The sequence below is a fragment of the Homo sapiens genome, chromosome 6, assembly GCF_000001405.40.
Source record: "Homo sapiens chromosome 6, GRCh38.p14 Primary Assembly".
Taxonomy (NCBI): Eukaryota; Metazoa; Chordata; class Mammalia; order Primates; family Hominidae; genus Homo; species Homo sapiens.
Genome location: NC_000006.12, coordinates 105,611,253 through 105,632,775, shown reverse-complemented (window position 1 = coordinate 105,632,775; position 21,523 = coordinate 105,611,253). Strand labels below are relative to the sequence as shown.

Here is a 21,523-nt window from a genome sequence, read left to right as displayed (position 1 = left end):
GCCTGCCTAAGCCTCCCAAAGAGCTGGGATTACTTCCTTTCCCCATTATGTGTTCTTAGCCCCTTTGCTGAAGATTAGTTGACCACAGATGCATGGGTTTATTTCTGGAATTTCTATTCTGTTCCATTGGTTCGTATGTCTGTTTTTATGCCAGTACCATACTATTTTAATTAATGTAGCTGTATAATAGAGTTTGAAATCAGGGAATATGATACCTCCAGGCCTGTTCTTCTTTTTCAAGATTGCTGTGGCTATTTGGGGTCTTTTGTGGTTCCATATGAATATTAGGATTTTTTCTTATGTTTCTACATTTAAAATATTTTCTATATATTTTTCCCTTTCCATAGTCTTGATTTTCTATTTTGATTTTATTAAACTCTTTGTATACTTGTATTTTATTGTAAGATGACTCAAGTCCTTTTCAGGAAGGGCTGTGATATAAACAAATGGTTAATGTGACTACGAATAATGAGAATTCTAACATAGAATACTCCCAAGCAACATTCAGCTTTGATTTTCCATCTATGCTGGAAAATGCTAGTCATCTCAAATATACCACGCTTGAATTCCATTTAATTTGCAGTGTGCCTAACATATTACCTGATATTTTACCATTAGCGGGTTTCTCTCTTGGCTAAAGGTTTGTGCCATTCTAAACTGTAAATATTCTTTGGAGGAGTAATCACTTATATTATTATCAGTCATCTCTGCTGTAGTGAGAATTAGCTAAATCGTTGTGTTTCACGGTAATAACTGCTAAGAAGGGTGGGTCTGAGGAAATGTGACACGAGACCAATGAGTATTCATTCTGGGCAGGGCAAAAGTGCAGAAGATGTGTCGCATGGATCACTACAGAAGGCAGCATGGCATCTGGATGGCTTCTGAGGCATGGTGGAAATAGGGGAGAGGGCTTGATGATCTTTCAGTTTTATTTTGAACTTATTTGTGCCAAGCCTTGTTCAAGGGCTTTATGCAAATGTATTACCTTACTTAAACCAGCCCTGGCAGTAAGACAGGAGAAGACAGACCATGTGCCACAAAATGGAATGCAATTGCTAACACTGTCTTGCACTAGTTTACCAAGGGATTTCATAGACCTTGTCTCATCTGATCCTTTAGTAACCCTGTTGGATAGGTTGAGTAAACAGGAGGAAATGAGACCCAGGGAGGCCAGGTAATATATAGGTGATAGAGCTGGGACTCTACCCAAGTCCTCCCCAAAGACTCATTTAACTGCACCATGACCATGCCCCCAATTCCACATCATTTCACAGAGAGTTGGCATCACATCTAAAAACAAAGTTAAAGATGTTTTTAAGTGGGGAAATGGGAAGACTTTAGATGAATAATGGAATAAAATGTTTGGCATGAAAACACCATAATTCATTACTCCAAAAGCTGAGGAAGAAATTTCTCCTGGGTGGCTGAGGTGTCAGGCTCCTGGGTAGACCAGCCCCTCTGCTGTGCTCATTCTCTCCATCCTGGAGACATTGTGTTTACTCTTTCTTTCTTCAGCCTCTAAACATTTCTAGATCTTACCCATTCTACATGAAGGAAAAACCCTCCAAGTTTTGACCCCTCATCACTCTCCATTCTATTGTCTTCAAACTTCTCAACGAAAGGCACAGTTCTCTCTTCTTTCTCATTCCTCTGAAAACATGTCTTTGCTTCTGACACCTGCTCTCAGTAAAGTTGTTGATTACCCCCCATACAAAATTCGGTGGACTCCTCTCAGTCCCTTCCCTTCTTGACCTTCCTAGGTCACATTTGACATGACTGACCACTCCCTCCCTCCTTCTTTATCTCCTCTAGCAGTACCTTCTCTTGGTTCATCTTCTACCTCTCTGAACATTCTCTCTCAGAATCCTCACTGAATCAATTTCTCTGTCCACCTCTTAAATGTTGGGATGCTTGAGTGTTTTCCTGCTGCATTCCTATTCTCTTCTCACTCTCTCTGCTCTAGCTAGACACCGTTGTCCACCTCCATGTCCATCTTCCTCTCCATCTCCATCTCTAATCTCATATCTCAGTTCCCCAAGCTCCTGAAGAAGCACCTTATCTCTTATTACACAATGGACATTGTCTTCAATGAATGTCCATTACAAACTGAAATTCATTACTTCTGAAATTGAACTTCTTACATTTCCTCCCACTCAGTTTTGCAATTTCTTCCACACTGCCTGTGCTGACTGGTAATCCCACCATTCACCTAGTGTCCCAAAGGAGAAGGAGGACTCCTTCTTCCCTCACCCCACATCCAATCATCCTTCAAACCTCACTGGTTGTGCCCTTTAGCCGTCTCTTGGATCCACTCTCTCCTCTCCATCCTTCCCGCTATTCCTTAAGTTCAGGCTATCCTTGGCTTCTGCCTAGATAGTGGCACTAGATTTCCAATTGGTCTCATGGCCTCTAGATTCATTTCTTTCCCATCCAAACAGCCCATCAAGTGGGTCTCGCTAAAACACAGGTCCAGTTCTTAAAAGCCTCAACAAGTCCCCACGGGCTACCAAATGAAATCCAAACTTTTCCCATAGTAAAATCTTCAAGAGTTACATTCTAGTGTTCTACCTACCTGGCCTTATTTCCTGCTATTTCTTCATCCACTAGTCCTTCCTTCCAATGTCCTCTCCCAATTCCTTTGGTATGCTTTTCTCCTCTCCAAACTCTATAATTCTGTATAATCCTTGCTATCTATTCACCAGATTTTCTTGATTGCTCATAAGGGAGGTCTATTTCATGTACATTAGGACTGTAGAGAAAGGAACAGCTACATCTGCCTAGAGAAATCCATACAGAAGAGGGAAATGCTTGTGCTGAGGCTTGAAAGAGGAGGAAACACTGGCTCCATGAAGCCTTCATCGACCCTCAAGGATTGGTAAGTCCTCCCTCTTTCTTATGTGCTGCCTTTGTGCATTTACTTGTTTGTTTCTCTTGGCGGACTGTGAGCTCTTTGAGTGTAGGGATTAGGTTGTAGCCCTTGTAGTAGCCCCAGTGCCAAGTACAGTGCCAGCGCTTTGTAGGCCTCAATAAACTTAGATTGGACTGAATCAGAGTAGCCCAAGGCTGCTGAGCTCATTAATGGCAAGTGGTTGGTTTAAGAGAAGTGGCACTCCATGCTCAGGTCTGGAATCTTGACCTCATTAGAACCCTGTTCCAACCTAACCTGCCAACTGTCTCTGACCTTTCAAATGTTAACACTATACATCAGCACGTGTGAGATAGCATGTGCACACCGAGTATCAACACGGCATATGGATATGTAGTATATGGAAACTCAACTCATCTCACTCACCAAATTTATGGCCCTTTTAAACCTCCCGGGTTAGTTTTGAATCAAACCCAGATTTTCTAGTGTTTGAGTTCATTTTCTTTTGGCAAACACATCTTCCTGTTGTTAAGAAGAAAGCCTTTACAAAGATTATTTAAAATTTTAACTAGTTTCTTGAACATCAGCTAGTTCTTATAATACAGGATTTTAATGGTATGAGAGTAAATGAATCAAAAACACATGCATTAATATCCCCTCAGAATCCTCAGGCTGTTCAAAAATTTACAAGAGACATTTGAAGAAAATATAGTTTAGGTTCTGTCAGATTCTAAATGCAGAATATTTTAAGATATGCCGTGATTTCAAAGTATGACTTTGCAAGCCTATTGGAGTATCACAATATTGGAGTATCATTGACATTTGTATAAGTGAACTATTTAGTAACTGGAATTATCATGAGTGGCCACAAAGCTCTACTTAAGCAAAGTGACTGCCACCACACAGTGCAGTAGACCTCCGGTTTAAGAGTTTCTAAGTCTGACCCAACTGGTAACAAAGAGAAGATTTCTCTCAAGTTCAGCACAGCAGCCCTTCGGAAGTTGGTGCTCTTTGTGTTTTTTCTTTATCAAGGAGAGTGGGAGTTTTAGATACAGGGAGGCGTGGGTTGCTTGAGTGAAAGGAAAGCAGTGCAGGGGTCCTACCTGCCTCTGTAATGGAAACTCCTCCTCATTATGAAGCTACTGCCTTGGTGGGCACACGACGAATATGGGCTGGGAAGAGCAGGGTGATTGCAGGTCATGATGACCTAGTAGGATTAGCTAGTTTGTATAAACACGTTCCAAGTCCAGCTATGTTTCAGTTAAGCTGCGCACAGACAAATACCAAAGTGGCCTAGCCCTGTTTCAGTGTCACAAACTGTTTATTTATACAAGAGATCCCTAGAAGTCCACTAATTTAGGAGACAGCCATCTTAGGGAATTCATGGAACCCTCTCTGTAGTGGTTATTTTAAAACCAAATTAAACCAGGCCCTTGAGAAAGCAGTGTAGAGAGTGATCCCATATTGCATCTTGATGTAAGCAGGACAGTGAGTCTTTTGAAAGAACTTCCCTATCACGAGTGTCTATTGGTTTCATTTGTTCTACAGGGATGTGAACCATTTGGTGTGCTGGGTTGTGGCTCACACATTGAGATAAGAATGAAGCCTATGTAGGTCACTCTTCTGCGTCTAACATGTTTCTCTTCTTGCCTGTTGAGAAAGAGCTGTAGCCTTCTTGGGGTTCAAGCAGACACTCAAAAAGCTCCTTTTGCATTTTGATACATCTAATAGAGCCTACAAATGGAAGCTACCTTGTGCATTGTTCAGTAAACATTTATGGAGCACTTCCTGTGGGCCAGAGACTGGGTTAGGGATTGGTTACATAGATAGTTGATGCAGATAGGAAAAAGAAAGTTAGATCTTCAGTAAAGTTATAACCTGAGTCTGGAGGCAAAGAGGATGGAAGAGACAGATGTGTAAAGAAACTGTAAACATATAAGTCCTGAGACAAAATCAAGGACAAAGTCCTAGGAAGGTAGAAACTTCACAGGAAAGGAAGCAACTCACTTTTTCTGGGGACATCAAGAAAGCCTTCCCAGGGAAGGTGATTTTGAGATAGGTTTTAAAGGATGGGTTGGAATTTGATAGTTGATCAAGGTCAATGATATCAGTGGAAGAACAGATCCATAGGGAGGTCAATAGGAAAAGGAAAAGGAACTTATCCAAAAGGCCTCAATGGGGTTGACTTTTGATTGGTACCCTTTGTACTTCCTATTTAAAGAATGGTTTGGCTTCTGTCTTTTTGTTTCCTCAATGCCCTGTTTCCCATTTGTCACTTTGATTTGTCTCTTGTATTTTGTCTCCTTTTGCAGTCTTGATTCAATCCAGTTCAGCATTTATTGACATCTTATATTTTTGGTGCTGCGTCAACCCTATGGGAAATATAAGAGAAGGAAAACCCTGTCTCAGCCCTCTGAGAGTGTGTTCTCCAAGGCTTGTGTTGACATGGTCTACATGCACTCACTCATTGAAGTGCTTTGGAAACAGGTTGATGATTATCCTCCAGCCTTTAAAAGCCATCCAAATTGACAGTTGCTCAGCCTCATTTCAATTAGGAGGTAGTGAAAATGTGACAAAATATATTAGGCATGGAAATTAAAGTGTCTGATGGTGTAATACAAATCCTTTCTTATGACAAACACAATCCCCAGGAGTGGTACCACAGCTGATTCATTTTTCATATGTTTTAGGAAAAGCACAATTTTTCGAAAATCTTAAATTGGCTATTATAGGAATACATGCCTAAGGGAGACATAAATGTAGATTTTCCTGGCACTAATATTTCCTGTGCTCTAGGGATAAGAAATCCACAAGATATAACTTTAAAAACCTGCTATGTTGCCTGAAGTTTCTCCATACCTTCTATTGCTTAATTGCTTTTATTTTATTGGCTGGTTAAAGAAGAGAAATGCTAACCTAGTTATTGGTTTGACTCAGCAGTCTCTCATGTCTGAAAAAAAAAGCGATATGAGTGGGAAGAGCCTTGAAACAAATTTGTAGTGAGACTCACTGTTCCTCTCTATCTTGAGGAATAGAAATCAGATTTCATAGAGTACTTGTATTTTTACACCTAAAAAAGTCTTCTGAAATAGAAGGAAAAAGATCATGCCATCTCAGTCAAGGTCAAGAGAGTTTACATTGGGTCTGCAGGTACCAAGATGGGAGTAATGATAAGACTGAGGACTTCTTGTCACTGGCTCAAAGCACCAAACTCAATCCTTCTTACTTCAGACACACAAGAAACCAGGAAGGCTTTCACAGCAATACTTGCCATTCAGGTTGTTCAAAATGACTTCCAGAATGCCCAGCATTATTAGGAGAAAGGTACTACCTAATGAACTTCATGCTAAACACTCTATTGAATCCCATTTTGTTTCTTCCTGCCACAGTTCCAGGAACCAAACTGAGTCAAAAAGAGAATACTGAACTATTTACCAAGTCACATGACTAAACTAAACTTTAATGCTAACTGTAAAAACAAGAGGCCTAATCTCTTGGATGTGTATGTTTGGTTTTTGTCTTGCTTTTTTGTTTGTTTGTTTTTGGTTGTTTTGCTTTGGATTTTTTTGTTTTATTTTCATAGTGGTAATTTCGGCATTTGCCAAGTGACTAATACTCTTCGGTAACATCAGTTTATGCGGACCCAGGATCTCTCCTTTCAGAGCAAGTATGTTCATGATTGTTCAGGTATTTCTGCAGGATTAGCTGGCCCAGTCGCTTAAAGTTCTGTATGGTCTACAAAATACTTTCTCATTTGTTATTTCATATGAGTCTTGAAAGTGACCTGTGAGATAGACTGAAATGTTTGATTATTCACAGTTCACAGATAGGGGCAGCAGACCCAGAGAGCCTAATTTAGATTCAGTTATACTAATTTAAACCCTAGTAAGTAGTAGAGCTGAGATTTAAAACTAAGTTTCCCCTCTCCAAGTTCTGAATTGTTCCCATGGTACAAGAGGTCGTGTGTGGTGAAAGAAATCAGGGCTGGGTATGAGGCCTCTCTGCCAATGGTTGCCTGCCTGGCTTGGTTGTTTTGCCAGAGATAAGACCTGACAGAGACATCAGTGCATCGGGCAGGATGATGACCAGCTTCCCCTTCAAATGGATAGGTTTTAGATACTTATCTTTATTTAGTGAGAATTGGAGAGACTGACTTTCTAATAACAAAAATTCCACATTCCTTTGTTTTGAACAGTATGTCCACCTTCTTGTCCTATGACTCCAGTTTCCCCAAGTCAAAAACATTAATGACCCTTGTAGACTCATATATTTGGTGAAGACTTTAACAAAATCTACTGCTTCCAGAAGTATGGAGGATGATCACACTGCAAATACCCTGCTTCTCATTGGTCACTTTGATTTTTCTCTTTTATTTCCTCTTCTTTGGCAATCTTGATTCAATCCAATTCAGCGTTTATTGACATTATATATTTTTCGGCACTGCATTGGCCCCGTGGGAGACACAAGAGAAGAAAACCCTGAACCAGCCCTCCCACACAGCCTGCAACTTGAGAAGCCCCTTTGAATAGACCCCTTGCCCAAGTCTCTCTCTCTCTCTCTCTCTTTCCCCCCCCCCCCCTTCCCTTTTCTCTTTCAGGCCTCAACCTTCCCAACTCTGACACCGTATTCTCAGGTCTTACACCTCCTGAAATCTCTCTCCCTTTCTTGGCAGAGCAACTTAATCTTACCTCAGCCTCTCTCTCTAAGCTTGGAATCTCCTTCGCAGAATGATATAAACCTTCAGCTATGTCAAAGACCATTTTCCTGAGAATATCAATTTTGTTGAACTCAACAAATCAAAGAACCAACGCTCAGTACCAGACTCTATCTTCCTTAAAAGGCAGTGAGGAAATTGTTAAAATATACGTGTAAACTTCTTTCTGTTGTATGGTTAAATTCACGTAAGAGAGTAATACATGTGCTGAGCAGAAGGGGACCAATTTACACTTTACCAGTTATGTAAGCAACCATGCAATAAAATTATTTTAAGTTAACAAACACCACATTCCTGATTAATTGCAAAATGTCTTAAGTCTCTTTTAAACGATTCTCTGACAGCTACTCAATGGGACTGCCCTTTCATTGGGCTCTTCCTCCAACCCTCAGTTTCCTCATCTGGAAAACAGAGATATCACTTTCATGCACTGATTTGGTAAGAATTAAATGAGATACCCTCATATAACAGATCTAATCACAGCATCTGTTCATAGTAGGCAGTTGGCAAATCTGAGCCACCTCCCCACCTCACCCCCTCCAACATTTGCCCATAATGCTTCTCCTTCCCTCAGGCCCAACTTCCATCAAATATTGTAAACTTTCCTAGGAACAGAACCTTGTCCTTTATTCCCTATGCTTAGAATAATGTGGCAAAGGCTGGGTATAGACAAGTCATTTAATAGTTGACCTTCCATATTAAATTTCCATTTATATCTATCTATCTATCTATCTCTTTCTCTATCAATATTTTCCCTTGAGTCTCTATCTTTATACATATATACATATGCACGCATATAAGTATATGCACATATATATTTTAGCCTGAAAGTTTTTGCATAAATTGTAGCAATAAAAGTACTATCTTTGGAGAAGAGATAAGAGATAAGAAGTCTTGGTTACTCAACATGTTGAGCCATGATTCTTTGGCAAGCAGGACCTTAGTTCTTAGGGTTCCATCTGGAAGACAAAGCGTCCTCCTTTTTGCAATAATGTCTTATCTGTCTATGAAAGATAAAGGGGTCATCTGAAGTGGCAGAGACCTGAAATGTTAGTTCCAAGAAATTTTGTTGCTAGTTTTTATTATTCTTCTCTGGATGGAATGTAGCCCCACAATTAAGTTTGCTATCTGACTCGGGTTTTATTTCACTTCATTCTCAACCCATCTAGAGTAGTTTGTAGATTAGTTTTTGTGTTTTGGAAAAACAAAGAATATTGGAAGATTCAAATAAGGCTTTAAGGAAATTCATCATTAATTTGGTAAATAACATCTTCCTAGAAAGAATGTTTAGCTTTGGCCCTTTCAATATCATCAGTTTTAGGAAGTGTATTATCTAGTTTGGTAGCTCAGTTGTAACTAATGTCTTCTATAATTTCCTCTTACTCACATGCCACAAAGATATTTCCCTGGAGCCTCAATGATTTCACCCCTGGATATAGATGGTAAAGAAGAGAGTAGTACAAAATGAAGCTGAAGAAACAGGCTGTGATCAGATTATGACAGGCCTTGAGTTTTGGGCTTTATTTTGCGGACAAAAGGGAATTTGAGGTACAGAATAGTGTGAGGGAAAGCTAAAAAGCATGAAGAGAATGATGTTAAGGTTTGAATTTCAAGGCCATGGGAAACCTCTGAAGCATTTTAAGCTAGCAATGGTGGACTTGAATATATTTGTATTTTTAAACAACAAAGATGTTTGCCTTGTGAAGGAGGTTGAGGTGGGAATGTGGAGAGAGAGAGGCTAATTAAGAATATGGCCTGTGATGGCCCACATGAGAACTGGTAGATAGTAACCCGGTTTAAGCAAAGGAGATGGTGAGGATAAAGGTCACATTCAAGAGACAGGAATATTTCCTATGTAGGAAATAGGATTCCATGTGATTCTGAGTATGAAGAGAAAGAGGAAGAAAATAAAGATAATACCCAGTCAAAGAACATAAGTTATTTAGAAACTGGGTATAACTGATTTAAAATCAATGTGATTCTGAAAACGGTGGTCTCAGTTGGTTTCTCTTATAATATCACACCCACCACGAAGCTGTGCACACAAGACACCATCTACAAATTATGTCGGCTGGTAGCACACTCTCCAAAGGAAGGCACCGAGGGTGCTTCCAAAAATACAGACCCACCTCATCTGCAAATGTTTTCATGGCAATGGATGACTTACCCTATTTACAAAACTTAATCTACCTGATTGGTATTATTCCACAAAGATTTGATCTGGCGGGCAGTGAATCCAGGTCCCTCAGCTTTTCCTTCTCTATATGAATCCTCCACCAGATATTTAGTAAGACAGTGACATGCAAGAAAAATCATCATTGAGAACTTTGGAACACAGTGGGAGGTTTGGTTGAAGATGAGTTTATAACAGCTGTGGAGATAAAACTGTAAACATTTACTTTTTCAGCTCCTTCCTGTCCTTTATTTCCATTGATAAGAAAAAGCTGTCTGTAACTGATTTCCAGGTAAATCTTAGGTTTAAATCCCCACTTTATTTTTCCTTTTACTCATCCCGGAAATAAAAAACCATCACAGTTCAGTTCAATTCCTATACGTGTATAGCTCAACTTTTTGTTCCTGTTGATGACATTTCATGTCTAATGATTAAGAAAAAGTAATGGGCATATATTTCTTTGACAATCTAGTAAACAAATCAGTTGAAAAACCATGCCCTGTCTATCTCAACTGTTGTTAACATTGGGTCAAAGTACAGGAAGAAAATGAACCCTTCTTCAAATTCCTGCCCTGCTTAGCAAAATCTCAGTTTGGAGAGAGCATATTCAGGGTAAGCCCTCTGACTTGGTTTATATCCCTATTGGCACATCACGAGATATTGGCCAGGTTGCTTAACTTTTCAGCATGAGCTCCCGTATCTGCATAAGGGGCATTTGATGGTGATCATCCCTTTAGCAAGCATTTATTAAACGTCTATTTTCATGTATCACTGTACTAGGTACTATACCAAGATGCCTACCCAAGAGAGATATGGTAAAAAAATCTATGAGATAATGAAAGTAAAATGTTTTAATGTCCTTGAAGTAATGAAACTATGCCAAGCCAAGAGATTATGAATTTAAAATTTCATGAGAGTGAAGAAGGACTTTCACAGTTTTCATAACTTTAAAATTTATTTAGTTGATATGGAGATCGGGATTAATCTCAACAGAGAAGAGTTAGCATTGCACAGAGAAAACTGTTCAGGACCGAGAATATATGTGCAGATCACAGAGTCACAAAGGAGGTCAGGATAAAGAGAAAGCGCCAGGATAATGGGCTGCAAATTTATCATAAGCCCTGGCAAATAATGACATAATTTTGAACAAGATCATTGAGTATAAAGAGTACTATGCTAAACAGATTAATATTTGGCCTTTCTCCCTGCTGGTCTGTCCTGGGAAGCTGAACCCTATAGGCTTTGTTACCCAGGGTCCCGTGACACTGGCTTACATTGAAATTTGTCCAATGAGCAGCACCAGCAGGAGATCGGGGTGGAAGGAGATAGCAATCAGAGTATTTCTTCCAGGGCTCCTACCTTCCCTGGGTGGGTCTCTGACAGTGGCTGTAGCCTCTACTAGCTTACACTGGATTCAAGCAGCACTATTTCCTCCTCTTGTTCTTTAGGCCGAAGTACAAGAACAGCTTCCCACTGTCGCTAGTCTCTGGGTGCCTCAACATCCCTTGTTTGTTTCTTTAACCTGCTTGTAACCTGTAAGTAGGCATTTATCAAACTGTCTTTATGGAAACTTCTGGGGTGGATTTTGTTCTTGCCAGGATCCTGACTAATATATAATATTATAAAATATTTACATAAAGTCCAGAAAGATCCTCATGTAGACTCTAAGATATTTTTCACATGAAAAACAAAAACACCCAAGTTTTTTAATCAATCTCCCCACAAGATGTCCCAGAGATGTTTGGATTTTATTTCTTTGAAGCTCTAGAAGGTCTCACACAGGAGCATCAATATCCTCTGATGAAACAATTTTTAAGCAGAAACTCATTATGAAAATATCTTAGAAAGGGTGAGAAACCCCAGAGGATACTTCATGCATTGTTCTTTTCCTTTACGTGGTTGATGACGTGCATTTTAAGTCAGAAGAAAGGAAAACATTCAGTAATTCTGGCTTTTCTTAGGCAATAATGGGTTTTGCAGGTCTGGGGACAGGATTTTATCTGAGGGGTTAGAGTGTACATGGATCAGAGCTTTGTGTCACACACACAGAACACAATGAGGTGTCAGCAATCTGCAGTCTGGGAGGATGCTCACACGATCCAGCATTGACATTTTGTGACTCACTTTACCTCCCCTCTGCTCTAGTAACAAACATACTACCAAGTGGGGAGCTATAAATGAGTCCATTTCCTGCAAATAAGATTTTAATGAGATTCTTTAGCTGGTCACACACCAACGTGAGATAATAAAAAGTTGATTGTTCATCTCCTCCCCCCAGCGCTAGTGATAGTCCATGTTCTTGAAACATACCAAATTTAATTAAGCTTACAAAATTATAATGGGACAAAAAATTAGGTCAAAATAAGTCTGTCTCCAGTGATGGTGACAGGGACTTTTACGTACAGCCAAGTGATCTCCAGCAGAACGTCACTGCTGCTTGACCTAATGTCACGGAAAACATAACATTTTGTAACCGTCATGCTTCATTTGGCATGGCTTGGCTAACTCACTCATCCTCAGGCTTAAAAATAGGGCATTGAGGTACGTTAGAGAAAAAGGAAGTAACATTCCAACCCTCTCTCCGTGGGACTTAGAAGGTCTACATGGGAAACCATTTGTTTTCTCCCCACAATTTGTCTCTGTCCCTTATTTTTAGACATTGATGGTAAGAGGGGCCTATGGGGCACAGGTATGATCAGGAGCCAATGGGGAGGAGCAAATGCAGGAGGAGGAAATGGGAAGACAAACTATTTTCCCATTGCATTATCTACTCTTCTCAAGGCAAATAATCCGAGTTTTAGTAGCCATTAACTCATAGGGACAACTTCCAAATGATCTTGCTCCTTTTGGAACTTAGCCTGTTGCTTGCAACATCTCTTATTGCTCACGAAGTTGAAGAAAATGGACAGAGATGAGAAAAAAATATGAAAAAGATATGGTTGGACAATTATATGAGCTTTGCTGTTTTTTTTTTGGTTTAAATTAATTATTCATTGATTTTATTCATTCAACAGATATGTACTAGGTATTTATTGTGTGCCAGCTAGTAACATAGACAGTATGGATCCAAGAGTGGAACAATACTAAATACCTACCCTCCATGAGTTTATTTTGGAGTAGGAAAAACAGACAATAAACTAAAAGACATAATCAATACATAATATGATGTCTGGTATCATAAGATGTAATGTGTGGCTGGGCGAGGTGGCTCACGCCTGTAATCCCAGCACTTTGGGAGGCTGAGGCGGGCGGATCACGAGGTCAGGAGATCAAGACCATCCTGGCTAACACGGTGAAACCCCACCTCTACTAAAAATACAAAAAATTAGCCAGGCGCAGTGGTGGGCGCCTGTAGTCCCAGCTACTAGGGAGGCTGAGGCAGGAGAATGGCGTGAACCTGGGAGGCGGAGCTTGCAGTGAGCCGAGATAGCGCCACTGCACTCCAGCCTGGACTCTGTCCCAAAAACAAAAACAAAAACAAAAAAGATGTAATATGTGTGAGACTCTATGCCAATAATTTACTTACACAGCTCTCATCTACTCCTCACAACAACTCAAAGGTAGGCGCGGAGTTTATTACCTGTTTTCTTGTGAGAAGACAAACTCAGAGTGGAAGAGAACTTGTCCCAGGTCACCCTTGGTGGAGGTGAGCTCAGATCAGCCTGACCTCACAACCCAACAAGAAGCAGGTGGGTTTGTTTTGCCTCCTGCCAGCCTACCTACATTCTGCCTGTCCTGAAAGATGCCTTCCTGGGCCTGCCCTCTTTGAGGTCTGGGCACTTTCTGCTTGTAGAATTCACTTGGCAATTAACCATGGACAGCCTTGTGAAAGCTGTTGTCTCTTTTTATTTTGAGCTGCTATTGAAATATTTTATTTTTATTTAGATTTATTAAAAGCTTGATCGTGATTCAAATTTTTGTTCCTAACTTTGCTGTAAACTCCTGAGGGTTAGAAACATTTCAAAGATTTTTGTTCTTTATGGCTCTCAAGGCACTCATATTATGCCTTGCACAACAACAGACATTTAATATGGAGTTGACTTGATTGAGTCCCTATAAGAGACAGCCCTAGGAATTTATTGAAGGATCCTCATTATTATCTCAAGTCATAGACGAGATCCTTGTTCTTGATTTCTCACCTCAGGGCATCTTGGACTAAAACTTAGAACATTCCTTCTTTTAAGCGTGCAGTCTGCATTATAACACTTCTTGGGAATGCAAAAGAAACTGGTACAAAGTATTTCAGTATCATTGGAACATTAAAAGAACTCTACTCTTAAACATCCATGGAAAAGAATTTGTGATTGTTAGACTTACTATTTAAGCTGGGATTAAAAAAAAAAAAAAAACCTACAAAACAAAATGGGACCTGAAAATAAAATGACTTTCCATTACAAAACCATGTTACAGGAGGAAATATTCCTTCAAACACTGGATTCAAACACTGTCCACTGCAAACTTTGCTAACCAAGATCCAGAGCCTGGGTCATCCTGAGTCTACTTGTATCAAGACAAGGCCACCCTTTTACAAGAGGACTCACCCCACACCCTCGCTCACATAAAATATCATTCCATTTCAACATAATGTTTCTTAAGCAAGAATGGCAGAGTCAGGCAGAGGGTAAGTACATATAAAAACAAATAGAGCCTTTATGGATGTGTAACTACTCCAGGGCTCTTCTTCAATCAGAATTCACTGGGGCCCAGGAGACTTGAGCAGAGTGATCCTGAAAGGAAATGTTTTTGAGGTATAATCATGTTTTATTCTCACAAATGTGATCTTTCTGAGTGGTTATATGTAGGTATCCCATAATTTGAGAAGAAAGAAAACTCTGGATGTAAGAGGACTTTCTTGGAGTAATGACTTCAGAATGTGAGGCAGCTCCCAATTTTCTGCAGAGCTGACTTTCAACCCTTTTTTTGATATTTACTTGGTCAGTAACCAGGCTACCTCCTCTCTCATTTTAATCACCTACTTGAGAACTAGCAGCCACAAGAGGCTCTTCTTAGGAGCAGTTTCAGCTGCCTCAAGGTTGAGTTGCTAGCTTGGCTTCTAGGAAAGGGGCATATGGACCATGATTTTGCTGGTTGTACTCATTGGAATCTGTTGGCTCAGTATATTGCCATGATGTGAAACCACAGAGCCCAAGTTCTGTGTGGATGTCCCGTGTCTGGAGAGTGGCTCCAGATACCACTGATGTCTCCTGTGACACCTCTGAAGGCTAGGAATAAACCCAACAGCATTAAGGACTTAGGTGTGAGATACAGACAAGTGTTCAAACTGTTAGTATTAGGATGGTAAAGAATAGATACAAGTAGGGAGGAAAATAAGGGAGCAAGTGATTAGATGCTGATCAGAGTCAGGAAGATGCTTCTTTATTTATTCATTCAACAAACGTTTCTTGACATGTGCCAGGCATTCTGCTAAGTTTTGTAAATAGAGAAATGCCTTTTAAGAGTATTCACAATACATCCCAGCACTTTGGGAAAGTGAGACGGGCAGATCACTTGAGGCCAAGAGTTACAGACCAGCCTGGCCAACAAAGTGAAACCCTGTCTCTACTAAAAATACAAAAAAAATTGGCAGAGTCTGGTGGTGTGCACCTGTAGTCCCAGCTATTCGGGAGGCTGAGGCACAAGTATCGCTTGAACCTGGGAGGCAGAAGTTGCAGTGAGTCGAGATCATACCACTGCACTCCAGCCTGGGGGACAGAGTAAGACTCTGTCTCATTAAAAAAGAGAGAGAGAGAGAGTATTCACAATACAGAAGTAGAGATAGATAAGGCAACAATTCATAGGATTGTATATGAGTTTGCCAGGGCTGCCATAACAAAATACCACAGATTGGGCAGCTTAAACAAGCAGATATGTATTTTCTCACAAGTTCTGGAGGCTGGAAGCCCCATCCAGGTGTCAGCAGGTTTGGGCTTTGGTTTCTCCTGAGGTCTTGCTCCTCGGCTTGCAGATAGTTGGCTTCTCTCTGTGTCCTCACGTGGTCTTTCCTTATGAGGGAGCAGCTCTGGTGTCTCTCCCTCTTCTTGTAAGGGCACCAACCATATTAGGTTAGAGCCCATGTTAACAGCCTTATTTTAACTTTGTCACCTCTTTAAAGACCTTATCTTCAAATACAGTGACACTGAGGTCTTGGGGGTCCTTCAACATAGTAATTTGGAAGAGACACAATGTAGCACATAACAGTCTATCAAAAGCTATGGTGGAAGTTGCCCAGGATATGTGGGAAGCCCAGAGGAAGGGAGAGTTGGAAAGGCTCCACAGGGCATATGAGGCATCACCAGGTCTTACAGGATATGTAGCAATTAGCCTGGTGCAAACAGTGGGCTGTCCCCACAGATGGAATGAGGCATGAATCAAAAGCTCATGAGTACATGGTGACATTATGTACTTTTAGAACCACATCTTAATTTCAGTCCAAAAATTCTACCATGCTATTTGTCCTTCCAAGACAAAGATGCAAAACAAGGATGTGTGCAGGTAGGAAAGAGATCTAGAAACATTAAAGGGTGTTTGCATAGGATGGAAGCTGAGCTTGAAGTTTAATTGGAGCGAAGCAACCATAGAAATATAGGGTTGTAAGCCAGACAGGGTAGAGACAAAGACCAGGAGAGGCCTGCCCATCAACCATTTGTGGATTCTGCACTCTTGGACACTGTGTTAATGCAATTCTATTACACTGTCTCTCCATCTAGGCCCCTACCACCAGGGACCTCTATGTGAGGCATAAACCAGTAGGGAGGGCCCACACTCCATTTTCTCTTATGTGGTCTTTATTGTTCAGCAGATAGATTTTTCTGCTTGAAGGGGGCTTTTAAAAGCCAAAAGTTTTTGCATTTCCAAAATCTGTGGAACCATGTTTGTTGCGGGAAGTCAGGGACCCCAAATGGATGGACCGGCTGAAGCCATGGCAGAAGAACATGGATTGTGAAGATTTCATGGACATTTATTAGTTCCCCAAATTAATAATTTTATAATTTCTTATGCCTGTCTTTACTGCAATCTCTAAACATAAATTGTAAAGATTTCATGGACACTTATCACTTCCCCAATCAATACCCTTGTGATTTCCTATGCCTGTCTTTACTTTAATCTCTTAATCCTGTCAGCTGAGGAGGATGTATATCGACTCAGGACCCTGTAATAATTGCATTAACTGCACAAATTGTACAGCATGTGTGTTTGAGCAATATGAAATTTGGGCACCTTGAAAAAAGAATGGGATAACAGCAATGTTTAGGAAACAAGAGAGATAACCTTAAACTGACCACTGGTGAGCCTGGCGGAACAGAGCCATATTTCTCTTCTTTCAAAAGCAAATGGGAGAAATATCGCTGAATTCTTTTTCTCAGCAAGGAACATCCCTGAGAAAGAGAATGCGCACCTAGGGGTGGGTCTCTGAACTGGCTCCCCTGGGCATGGCCATCTCTTATGGTTGAGACTGCGGGGGTGAAATAGACTCCAGTCTCCCATAGCGCTCCCAGGCTTATTAGGAAGAGGAAATTCCCGCCTAATAAATTTTCGTCAGACCGGTTGATCTCAAAACGCTGTCTCCTGATAAGATGTTATCAATGACTATGGTGCCCGAAACTTCATTAGCAATTTTAATTTTGCCCCGGTCCTGTGGTCCTGTGATCTCGCCCTGCCTCCATTTGCCTTGTGATATTCTATTACCTTGTAAAGTACTTGATGTCTGTGACCCACACCTATTCGCACACTTCCTCCCCTTTTGAAACTCCCTAATAAAAACTTGGTGGGTTTTGCAGCTTATGGGGCATCATGGAACCCACCGACATGTGTTGTCTCCCCTGGACGCCCAGCTTTAAAATTGCTCTTTTGTACTCTGTCCCTTTATTTCTTAAGCCGGCCGACGCTTAAGGAAAATAGAAAAGAACCTACATGAATATCGGGGCAGGTTCCCCGATATCTGGCACCCACGTGGTCTTTCTTTTTTCCTAAATGCATGAGGGAACCCGATTCCCTTTGGTACGTGCAGTGAAACGTCAATCGGCTTGGTCCACAGATATGCGTGTTCGACTCCCCGACGAGTGGTCAGTAGTCTGTGTAAGGTCTGGGTTAACTATGGATCATGCAGAGTGTAAGCATCATGCTTATCTCTGCTATATTAAACTCCTGTTAAAACAGGGTGGTGTTAAGTGCCTATGGAAAATATGCTCACTCTATTCAGGTCAGTAGAAAAATACTGTCCTTGGTTTCCTGAAAAAGGAACCTTAGATGTAGAACTATGGGATCTTGTTGGTACAACATTCAGGGAACTGGTCTCCACAGGAAATTATGTTCCCGTAACTATTTGGGGTGACTGGGCCTTAGTACGTGCTGTCCTGATGACATACCAATCCCGAGACAGCCCCTACAGTTACCACAATTTTCTGAATCTGACGATCCTCCACCTTTTCCTCAACCTTCCTCTCCTGCACAACCTTCATTATCTGAACCATGCTATTTGTCCTTCCAAGACAAAGATGCAAAACAAGGATGTGTGCAGGTAGGAAAGAGATCTAGAAACATTAAAGGGTGTTTGCATAGGATGGAAGCTGAGCTTGAAGTTTAATTGGAGCGAAGCAACCATAGAAATGTAGAGTTGTGAGCCAGACAGGGTGGAGACAAAGACCAGGAGAGGCCTGCCCATCAACCATTTGTGGATTCTGCACTCTTGGACACTGTGTTAATGCAATTCTATTACACTGTCTCTCTATCTAGGCCCCTACCACCAGGGACCTCTATCTGAGGCATAAACCAGTAGGGAGGGCCCACACTCCATTTTCTCTTATGTGGTCTTTATTGTTCAGCAGATAGATTTTTCTGCTTGAAGGGGGCTTTTAAAAGCCAAAAGTTTTTGCATTTCCAAAATCTGTGGAACCATGTTGACTTTCTATTGATTAGCAAAGATGTAGATTGCAGTAGAGAATTAAAGAAATGGGAAGTTGCCTGGCGTGGTCGCTCACGCCTGTAATTCCAACAGTTTGGGAGGCCAAGGTGGGCGGATAACCTGAGTTCGGGAGTTCGAGACCAGCCTGACCAACATGGAGAAACCCCGTCTCTACTAAAAATACAAAATTAGCCAGGCGTGACGGCACATGCCTGTAATCCCAGCTACTCGGGAGGCAGAGGCAGAAGAATCACTTGAACCTGGGAGGTGGAGGTTGCAGTGAGCCAAGATCGTGCCATTGTACTCCAGCCTGGGCAACAACGGTGAAACTCCATCTCAGAAAAAAAAAAAAAAAAAGAAAAAAAAAGAGAAAGAAAGAAATGGGACATTTTCTGGCTTTGTGTAATATCTTTATGATGCTTCTGTAAAAAAGTCCTCCATTTTCCCACCTCAGAATCAGTAACAATGGTTTAGATTTAAAACTAAAACTGTTTATTTTAATTTTAAACCCAAATAATTAAGATTTAATAATTTAGGATAATTTGGAGGTTGTAGAATATGAGGACATTATGAATTGAATTAAAGAGTTATATTCCTCAGAGGAAGCTGCAGGTGGGTAAAACAGTTCATTCAAATTTGCTTTTGAGAATTAAAAGGGGGGAAATTCTGCTTTCTGAGGCACTGAAAAATGTAACCAGTGTGTGATTCAAAGATGTCCACCATATGGGTTTGAATGGATCAGCTTTCAGAGAACAGTGACATCAGAGAATGATTCTCCACTTCTGAAGCCCTGTGAGCCCAGGAAGCAGAGGAGGCTTAAAATGCCCTGAAATTAATTTTCCTGCTTTTATGATTTTAGCCAGTGTTTTCATTTTAGTATTGATACCCAGAAGCAGTTTTTCAAAACTGCTTTTAAAAAAAAATCACGTCAAATAATCAAATGACACTATTCATTTACTTGAATAACTGGAATACAAATTTCAAAATTTGCTGAATTGCATCAGATTCAAATGGCCAGGAGCAAGTTTGTACACATTCAAGTCAACTGGGGGATTTACTCAAAATTATTATAACTGGAATGTGCATTTAAATAAGCTGTAGGAGGAAACAGTGATAAAATATAGAGTTAAAAGTATATAAATGTTTACTTTTTAAAAATCATTTTTTGTCCCTGAAATGCTTTGAGATTTTGATAATTCTCTAAGTCAGACTTAGTTTATCCATTTTAGCTTTTATTATTATACCCTTAAGCTTTTCTGCATTTGGCATAATACCGCAACAATGCAAAGGTCAACTAATTTTTATTTATATGGGACTTTCAATCACAGTGCAAGCAGGAAATGTGTACATTCTATAGTCCATTCATCCAAGTTGACAAGAAGAAACCTCAGGCATGAAGACAGAACAAGCATTTCTCAACAATACAAAGTGATAAAGCGTCAAAATGAGCTTCATATGCGTCTCTTGAGTCCTTCATTCCAGCACCTTCTCCCATCCCCACTCTGGAACCTTTTCCTGGATCCTCCTCCCAGCTGGGTCTTGGTCAACTAGACAGAGGTTTGAGTTAAGGATAGACAGAAAAGAGTGGAGGGCACTATCGAGTTGTGGGATTCACCACAGAGCAAAGCCAAATTCATATGTGTTTTGTTTGAGTTGTAACTCGTTTTTCAATTATTCACATTCCTCCTTCCCTCCAAGAGAGTGAAAGTGAACAGAAAAGGCCAATCATCATTCTAGAATTTCATGCTGGACTGTGGAATAAGAACTATCCTCACTGCTTCTCTATCACAGATATTACAGATATCATGAGCCTTTGCTTGGCCAAAAAGTTCTATAAGAAAAAGGATTTTCATTTGTGGTAGAGGTGGGTGGACAAGTTTCTTTATCTAAGAGAATCATTATTCATCTCCAATTATGTACATAAATATTACTGGGTATTGTGGGGATGTAAAGACAAATGGTATGGTCTCATGCCCACATAAAGCTTACAGAAGTAGAAATGTTAAGATAAAAAGTGTAGCTTTTTAATTAGAAAAAAACCTCTTAGCCATGCTTGCATGTTCTTTTTGCATTTACTGGAAAGTGAAATCCTAATAATTTAGTGGGAAAGGGCATGGTTGGGGTTTTCCACTGGCATCCTACAAGGAAGCATGCACAATTTCAGACAATACAATCACGTTCTTCCAGCAAGAGAGAACTAGTTTGGTGCCTAAAATTGGTTCAAGGCAAAAGTTCCTGAGAGAAAGTAATTTGGGCAAGCCTTAGATCAAATCCTCAGAGACTAGCCTCCCTAGTTGTTTCATAATGCTTGGAGGAAAAAAAAACATTTTCCCTCCCACTCTTCTCCTGACGGAGGTTGCTAGGATGCCTATGACTGGCAGCTAGAGGTAGAAGTGTCATTGCTGCCACTGCCATACCCTGGCTGGCTGCTATTATTTTGGAAGGTGAGATGACTCCTGCCTCTGGGATCCCTCTAGTTATGAAATGATTTACTGAAATGTTTATTTTCATAATGGTAAATGAAATTTGTATTCACGAATATGAAATTTTTACTTCTGAATATGTTGTGCACCATTTTCCATAAACATCTGCCTACATCTGCTGCTGGTGTTTCTCCCACCGTTTCCTGTGGGAGGCTGCATGCTTTTGCCTCTCTCAGCCAAATCATGCCAAACAGAGCCCATTCTCCTCAAAAGTTAGCAACCAACAGTTTCACCTTGGCAGAGTAGGAACCAGCTTTTTTTTTTTTACTTCTTTTTCTTTTTGAGATGGAGTCTTGCTCCATTGCCCAAGCTGGAGTGCAATGGCACAATCTTGGCTCACTGCAGCCTCTGCCTCCTGGGTTAAGTGATTGTCCTCCCTCAGTCT

General features: G+C 40.6%; 1 long non-coding RNA gene across 1 annotated transcript; it reads left to right on the top strand.

Annotated features, from left to right (window-relative positions):
• The first annotated feature begins 446 nt into the window (after positions 1–446).
• Positions 447–20,265, top strand: LINC02836 (long intergenic non-protein coding RNA 2836). The gene is made up of 6 exons (XR_942833.3): positions 447–640; positions 2,748–2,875; positions 9,988–10,045; positions 11,202–11,288; positions 13,314–13,442; positions 19,984–20,265. It is a non-coding gene; the product is annotated as a long intergenic non-protein coding RNA 2836 (long non-coding RNA).
• The last annotated feature ends 1,258 nt before the right edge of the window (positions 20,266–21,523 follow it).